We start from the raw sequence: 7,521 nt of genomic DNA on the forward strand, positions 1-7,521 counted from the left end.
CTGGGGATTCTGGTTTTGGGACAGTGGGAAAACCCTGGCTGGCCTTGCATGTGCCTGACTCAGTGTGAACGCCCCTTACTGCCCAAGTCCCTTGTTGCCCATGCGCCTTACTGTCTGCCTTCTGTCCCAGCAGAGCTGTGCAAAGAGACATCGTGACTTCCTTCTGTCTTGCCGACTAGGAGTCAGCCAGTAGGTCTGCAGTTCAGTAGTCCTAGAAGTTTGAGTGTGAGTGAGTGTGAGGAGGAGCCTGCGGGCACGATCCATGGCCTCCTAGGTGGAAGGGCTTTGAGGTCCCCGTCCTTCTAACACGCAGCGATGCAGCCATGGCCTTGCTGTGGTGGGGGTGCCGGACAAGGGAGGGAGAAGGACCATAGATGGGAGGAGGGTCAGGTAAACAAGCAGTGAGTTTTGAAGGGGGAAACTATTTGTGGTATTTGAGTCCGCGAGGCATATGAAACTGCTTACAGACGATGCATTCCAGAGTCCTCAGTGGGAACCAGGGAGGGGAGGGAGGACTGCATGACGCGGGATGGGGTGGGGCGAGGCGGGGCACTGCAGCACACAACGCAGGCACCGACTTCAGTGTGCATGTTCCTTGGACACCTGCCTCAGTGTGCATGTTCACTGGGCATCTTCCCTTCGACCCCTTTGCCCACGTGGTGACCGCTGGGGAGCTGTGAGAGTGTGAGGGGCACGTTCCAGCCGTCTGGACTCTTTCTCTCCTACTGAGACGCAGCCTATAGGTCCGCAGGCCAGTCCTCCCAGGAACTGAAATGTGAGTGAATGTGAGGAGGAGTGAGCGGGCTTCCAGAGGGTCAGGCGGCGTGGTCTGTGGCCTCAGAGAGTAAAAAGCTTCCAGGTCATAAGGAAGGTGGGCCGCGGAGTGAAGGGGAGCCAGATGAAGATAGGGTGAATGCTCGGGGTGCTGTTGGAGGTATCTGAGTCCCGAAAGTGCCTGGAACTCCCAATGGGACAGATTCCAGACTTCTTGGTAGGGACCCAGGAATGGGCTGTGTAAGCGGTAAGAAAGGGGCCTGGGAAGTGGGAATGCTATGAGCTGGTGACCGCGACCCCGAGGTCTGTAGAGCTCCGGGTAGAAATGTCCAGCGAGGAGCGTCCAGTGATGTGTCACAACTTCTCAACTCCACCCTGGAGGTTCGAATGGGCGGGACTGTGCTTTCCAACAAAACCTTGATTTTAGGGAGGGAAATCGTCCAAACAAATGGGTGTGTGACGAAAGCCGTGGTCACTGCAGTTTTAATTCTCTAGCTGTATAAACTTAAATGTCTCCACTATGGAGAATCCAACTGTGAAACCAAATCTCATCAGAAATATCCTGTATCTTTTGCCAGGAGCATTAAGACATTGCTCTGCTAGATTGCCCAACTTAAGTGGCTATGCAAGCATTCGATTCAGAAGATGTACACACTTCTAGTTGCCCTGGGACTTACTTTCAAATTATTTCCAAACTTTTTTAAAAACTGAAATTTAACATTTGGCCATGAAAGTGGTCAAATACAGCTATCCTCTCAAACACACTTTCCCAATCACAGTATTCTGTTTGCAGAGTGAAATATGAGTTGGCGAGGAAGATCAACATATAGGCCTAGGCCAAGAAGAAGTTTACAGCCTCCTGAGCTGATTGGGGCTATGCTTGTGAGTGCTTTAATATTTTGATGTTTTTTATTAGCAGAAATTTCTTTTGTGATAGTGTTGTTGAACTAGTATAGATACACTGATAAAGGTCTTCCATGTTGATAAAAATGATCATGCATCTCATGAAGGAAAGACTAATCCAAGAGTATTACAATCTGATTTTGCCTTCATGGATAATCTTGTGTTCCCCATCATGACTTCCTCCTCATGCTTACTGATAACAGATTGCACACATCCAACCCAACATAGATTAAAATGGTTTCCAAAGCCTTTGAGGGTAACTGTCTTAGAGTAACCTCTCTTTGGGAAGAGTAACTTTGTGAAGAATAAGTATGTGGAACAGTGTTGGAGAAGTGTCTTTAGACTTACTTGTGATTAGAAATACCTGTGTATTCTGTATATTTGTATTATTGACATGTATTACTAACAAAACTTTTTATCTGCACACATACTGCCTCCCCTTTGTCCCAGGAACCCACTGATGAAGAGCCTAAAGAAGAGAAACCACCCACTAAAAGTCGGAATCCTACACCTGATCAGAAGAGAGAAGATGATCAGGGTGCAGCTGAGATTCAAGGTGCTGGGAAAGGAAAGAAATAATGCCTATAGGGGGAAGGAGGCCTATGTGTCCATCATGCCTTATGCCATGACCAGTAATAGGAGGAAAGAAAACATTAGGAAAGGATCTCAAGCACTTGCTCAAAGTAGGCTGGAAAAGTGAAGAGTATAGTTTGCAGCTTCATGCAGTCCCTGGATATAATAAATCTTCTCTTTTTTTCAAGATTTATTTTGTATGCTTGAAAATACATCCCTTGCTAAATCAGATGAAACTGTTTAATTTGATGTATCAAAATGTACATTATTTCACTTGATTAATTTGATCTTCTTAGAATGTTGCTGTATGATTGGCTCAGCCATGGTGTCCACAGTGTTATAAGCACCCTTTTATAGCATATAGAGTGCCAAGTCACCCTACCTTATAACACCCTGAATAAAGCCCATTTGCATAGGGATATTAGCCCTATTTTATAAAAAGGAAATGGTTGCTCAGAGATAGAGGCTTACCAAGAACGCTTGAGTCATGGAGGCAGAATTCATATTACGTTCCAAGGTCTGTGTTCTTCCTAACATCTACGTTATTAGAAAACGTGAATTATTTTGCTTAAAACGCTTAATACTCGAATGTGTCTGTACTGTAAGGTACTTGAGTATTGGCTCAGGAGAAAACAAATTCAGTGAAGCAGGATAGCAAATCCGGAAAAGGGCTCAATGAATGACAGCCACTGTTCCCTTTGATCAGTATTTTTTGACAGTATGTTTGGTAAAAGGTGGATAGTTCAGGACACTGGCATACAGGTAGGTATATTAGTATGCTTTTTAAGGAACTTTTAAAAGTTGCCTAAATACTTTTATAATTAGAAAACTCAAAGTATGATACAATTATCATGAAACAGAAATTGTGTCCTCAACAGATAGCATTTTCAAGCTAAAGTTGACGGAATTTGGACCATGGATTATTTTAGCAGTTCACGGTTAAGAGGTTTCCAGAATATGACTGTCAACAACACTCATTACTTTCTTTCACTCAATTTCCTGAATTCTCATGGGAAAACTGTGACTTTTTTTCCTCTTATTTTTGGTACTATATTCTCAATAGGATTTATTTATGAAAAGTTACATTTAGGGCCTTTGGACCTAAGCATAATTTTAATTAATTTTAACCAAATAATTTTCAAATTACCTCAGCAAGATATGGTTGTCACAATTGTAAGTTTTTGTCATAAGCCCAGGAATACATTGATCTAGTCTTTCAGAAAATTATCTTTGAGTTATTATTAAAATGCTATTCATGCAGCAAACTTCAGATATCTTACATAGTTGATACTCACTGTTTATAATGCACACTGGCAAAGTATAGGAAATGAAGGTGTAGTGTGATTTATCCTTAGATTGTCATTTTATATTAGATTTCAGGCCAGGTACATTGGCTCACACCTGTAATCCCAGCACTTTGGAAGGCCGAGGCTGGTGGGTCCCTTGAGCCTGAGAGTTAGGAACTAGCCTGGGAAACATGGGGAAACACCAGAAAATTTTCTCTGCCAAAAAAATACAAAAATTAGCCTTGGTGGTGGCATGTGCCTATAGTCTCAGCCTCTCACAAGGCTGAGACAGGGGGATAACTTGAGCTCAGGAGGTCAGGGCTGCAGTCACCTGTGACTGCACCCCTGTACTCCAGCCTGGATGACAGAGTGAAACCCTGTATTAAAAAACAAATAAAATAGGAATTCATAATACAGGAAAACAAAAGTGTGACAGCTTTGCATCACATTTATTATCACACTAGCCTACAGGCTTTTATGTCATAACTCTGTGGAATAGAATATTATTACTTCCTTATTTATACTTCATGTTTTTGTACTCAAGTTCAATAACCTTTGTATTTTTTAGTGCCTGACCTGGAAGCCGATCTCCAGGAGCTATGTCAGACAAAGACTGGGGATGGATGTGAAGGTGGTACTGATGTCAAGGGGAAGATTCTACCAAAAGCAGAGCACTTTAAAATGCCAGAAGCAGGTGTGTTATTCATTAAGACACAAAGTTATGTGATTTCTATTTTTTACAATATTATACTTTTGATCATAGAGAGATAATATTACTGCCACTTTAATAACAGTGTTCAAATACACACTTTCTTTGAAAGGTACTTCAGATCCCAATGCCTGACTGCAAGACTTAAATGCTCTCAGATACAGACACAAATTGGGTCAAAGCCATATTGAATCATCAAATATGACAGCATTTTCTTACTTCTGAGTATAACCAACAGCTAACAATTTTCAGATTCTTTTCTAATTTCTGCTTTTAACAAATACATAATGCATTTGTAATACCAGACTGTGTGAAATATGCTGAGTACTGAAGGAGATTCTAGTAGCAGCTCTATGACAATTTGTGAGAATCTGGACAAATTCCATAAATTCTACACCCATCTTTGCTGTTATTGAAAATGGTGAATGCAGATCAAATGTATTAAAATCCGTTTCAATGCTGATTTCTGCATGCTCTGGTTCTGTTGGAGAGAATAGAAAGATATTCTGATTCCCATGATTTGTTTTTCCTAACAATCAGCTTCAGTCCAATTACAATATCTGAGCTGAGATTTCATTGCTCCTAAGAAAATGAGCAGGCACTCTGCTTGATGTTTGTTTTCCAGCATGGAGACTTGAATGAGTGTTCTTGGATTTTGTCAAATTCTGAATTATCTGGCTTTTAAAGAATAATTGTATTTTAAAGCCTTCCCACCGTGAAGCCTTGAATGACTGAATAATAAAATGGCAAGAGACAGTCTACTTTCTGTGGCCAATGAAGTAGGGAGAATGCATGTAGGTCAGTCATGCTCAAGGTGGGTGTAAGATGCCTGTGCTAAGCATGCTTTTTGCTCTCCTGTCAGTCTTCATGAGCTACTGTGTGTAATAAAGACACACATGATATAATCACCTCTAACCATATCATAGGTTACATATTACAGGTTTCTGCCTTGAGACATCAGATGATAGGACTTAAAGTTCAAAGACTATAATGTACTAATTCTTGAGTAGTCAACATAAGTATCTTTTACACATTTTTTTTTATAAATTGCTGACTGTTAATGAGAAGAGCTTCTGAATTTAAAGGAAGAACTCCATGTTTAGGGAAGAAATTACCTAAATGTTTTACTCTGCACTGCTGAACCATTCCATTAAACTATTTACATTAAAAGATAGTTTTCAGGAGCCGATTGAACAAGCCTCAGTTGTATTCTTAGGAAGATCACAGCCTTAAATGCACATCTTATTAGAATAGATAGCAAATTACATGATAAAGTAATAATCAATATAATAATAAAAGAGCAACAGAATAAACCTAATGGAAAAGGAAAGAGGTACTTAATAACAGACAGGTAGGAACCTGGATTTTGGATTAGGAAAACTAATCCAAAAGTAATACATTTAACACATTGTTTATTTTAAAAATAGCTATGAATAGACTATCTATTTGTTTCTCCAGTCTTGAAGAAAATGGGAAAAGCACAATACAGAATATGAAGAAGACACAGATATTGAATATGTAGTATAACTGAAAGTAAATACATTCTTTTGTTTTCTTTTGTTTTACTTTTGAGACAGAGTCTCGCTCTGTCACCCAGGCTGGAGTGCAGCAGCATGATCTTGGCTGACTGCAACCTCCACTTCCCAGGTTCAAGTGATTCTCCTGCCTCAGCTGAGTAGCTAGGAGTACAGGCATGCACCACCATGCCTGGCTATTTTTTGTATTTTTAGTAGAGACGAGGTTTCGCCATGTTGGACAAGCTGTTCTCGAACTCCTGACCTCGGGTGATCCACTTGCCTTGGCCTCCCAAAGTGCTGGGATTACAGATGTGAGCCACCACGCCCAGCTGAAAGTGAATACGTTCTTAAACTCTAATATTTTCGGAATATAGATGAAATGGTTGATAAGCTAGGAATGCATGCATTATTAAATATATCCCAGTAGTACCTGAATATCTATTCATCACAAAGACTGTGCATGAACTTGTGAAATTTGCTAGTTGTCCCTTGATAATATTTACTTTTAGAAATAAATATTTAGTTATTCTAGATGTCTTCCTCTACATCTCCATTTCCCTTTCCGTTTCTTTTTTTTCGTGCCATACTGTTCATGATATATACCTCTTTCATATTTTGATATCAATAATGATAATGATAGATTAAAAGTAATGCGATCATATAATTAATTATACAAAGGGGAATTTTTTCAAGTGTAAAAAGAGATATTTGTATTAACATCAGGACTATAGGTGAAAACTGGGGACAGATGTTTACCATACCTTAATATCTACAGAAGGGTAAACTAACCCAAAGCAACATTTTTGCACTTTGGCACAATAGAGGAAAAAACAAATGCAATACTGTCCTTTCTATTCACCACGCATATGCAGCTTCTAATGTGACATTAACTCTTTTCTTAAAAGATAGTTTTCATACTATTTCCAGGAGCCTATTTGACATCCAGACCATAGTTTCAAGCCAAAATATTAAATTGTACATTTTTTATAAATTCCTTTGTTTCTTAGTTTTTTTGTGTGTATTTGTTATATTTTTAGTAAAATTATACACAATTTTTGCTTTATACATTAAATCCCTTTTTAAGAGTTTCACTTGATTTAATGTGTTCTGACCTCGGACTGTCTTTTGGTTTCCTTGTAGCACTAGAAAGCAGGGTGTGTTTAAAAAATATTAATAATGTATATGTTTGGAAGTTTATCTCCAAAGTCTCCACAGAGGTCTAATTGAATGTAAGCCAGAGGGTGACTCTTGGGTTTATGGTCTTAGTCCACTGTACGAAACAAAAACTTTGGTGTCATTTGCATATCTTAATGTGATCTAAATACAGTTCTGCTAGTAATGTTCCACCTGTTATGTTTCTATTACAGGTGAAGGGAAATCACAGGTTTAAAGGAAGATAAGCTGAAACAACACAAACTGTTTTTATATTAGATATTTTACTTTAAAATATCTTAATAAAGTTTTAAGCTTTTCTCCAAAGAAGTCTTGCACATCTTCTGTTAATTTCTTTTTTTCTTTCTTTTTTTTTTTTTTCTAGATGGAATTTTGCTCTGTCGCCAGGCTGGAGTGCAGTGGCATGATATTGGCTCACTGCAACCTTTGCCTCCTGGGTTCAAGCAATTCTCCTGCCTCAGACTCCTGAGTAGCTGGGACTACAGGCACGTTCCACCACACCTGGCTAATTTTTGTATTTTTAGTAGAGATGGGGTTTCACCATGTTGGCCAGGATGGTCTCAATCTCCTGACCTCGTGATCTGCC

General features: G+C 39.6%; 1 protein-coding gene across 2 annotated transcripts; it reads left to right on the forward strand.

Moving 5' to 3' along the window:
* The first annotated feature begins 581 nt into the window (after window positions 1-581).
* XAGE2 (X antigen family member 2) lies at window positions 582-7,241 on the forward strand. Of its 2 annotated transcripts, none has more exons than XM_011530836.3 (5): window positions 582-775; window positions 1,554-1,656; window positions 2,128-2,233; window positions 4,105-4,230; window positions 7,130-7,241. In XM_011530836.3, the coding sequence occupies exons 2-5, from the start codon at window positions 1,576-1,578 to the stop codon at window positions 7,150-7,152; spliced, it is 336 nt and encodes a 111-aa protein (XP_011529138.1). In that variant the 5' UTR covers window positions 582-775; window positions 1,554-1,575; the 3' UTR covers window positions 7,153-7,241. The 2 variants fall into 2 exon arrangements, with proteins under 2 accessions (XP_011529138.1, NP_570133.1); NM_130777.3 differs by having other exon boundaries at window positions 1,568-1,656.
* The last annotated feature ends 280 nt before the right edge of the window (window positions 7,242-7,521 follow it).

The sequence above is a fragment of the Homo sapiens genome, chromosome X, assembly GCF_000001405.40.
Source record: "Homo sapiens chromosome X, GRCh38.p14 Primary Assembly".
Classification (NCBI taxonomy): Eukaryota; Metazoa; Chordata; class Mammalia; order Primates; family Hominidae; genus Homo; species Homo sapiens.

What these genes read in the sequence shown, in the direction of transcription:
- XAGE2 (XM_011530836.3), top strand. Translation starts at nt 1,576, where the DNA reads ATGAGTTGGCGAGGAAGATCAACATATAGGCCTAGGCCAAGAAGAAGT. An exon ending in GGGTGCAGCTGAGATTCAAG is followed by an intron (nt 2,234 to 4,104) that starts GTGCTGGGAAAG and finishes TGTATTTTTTAG; the next exon opens with TGCCTGACCTGGAAGCCGAT. An exon ending in CTTTAAAATGCCAGAAGCAG is followed by an intron (nt 4,231 to 7,129) that starts GTGTGTTATTCA and finishes TTTCTATTACAG; the next exon opens with GTGAAGGGAAATCACAGGTT.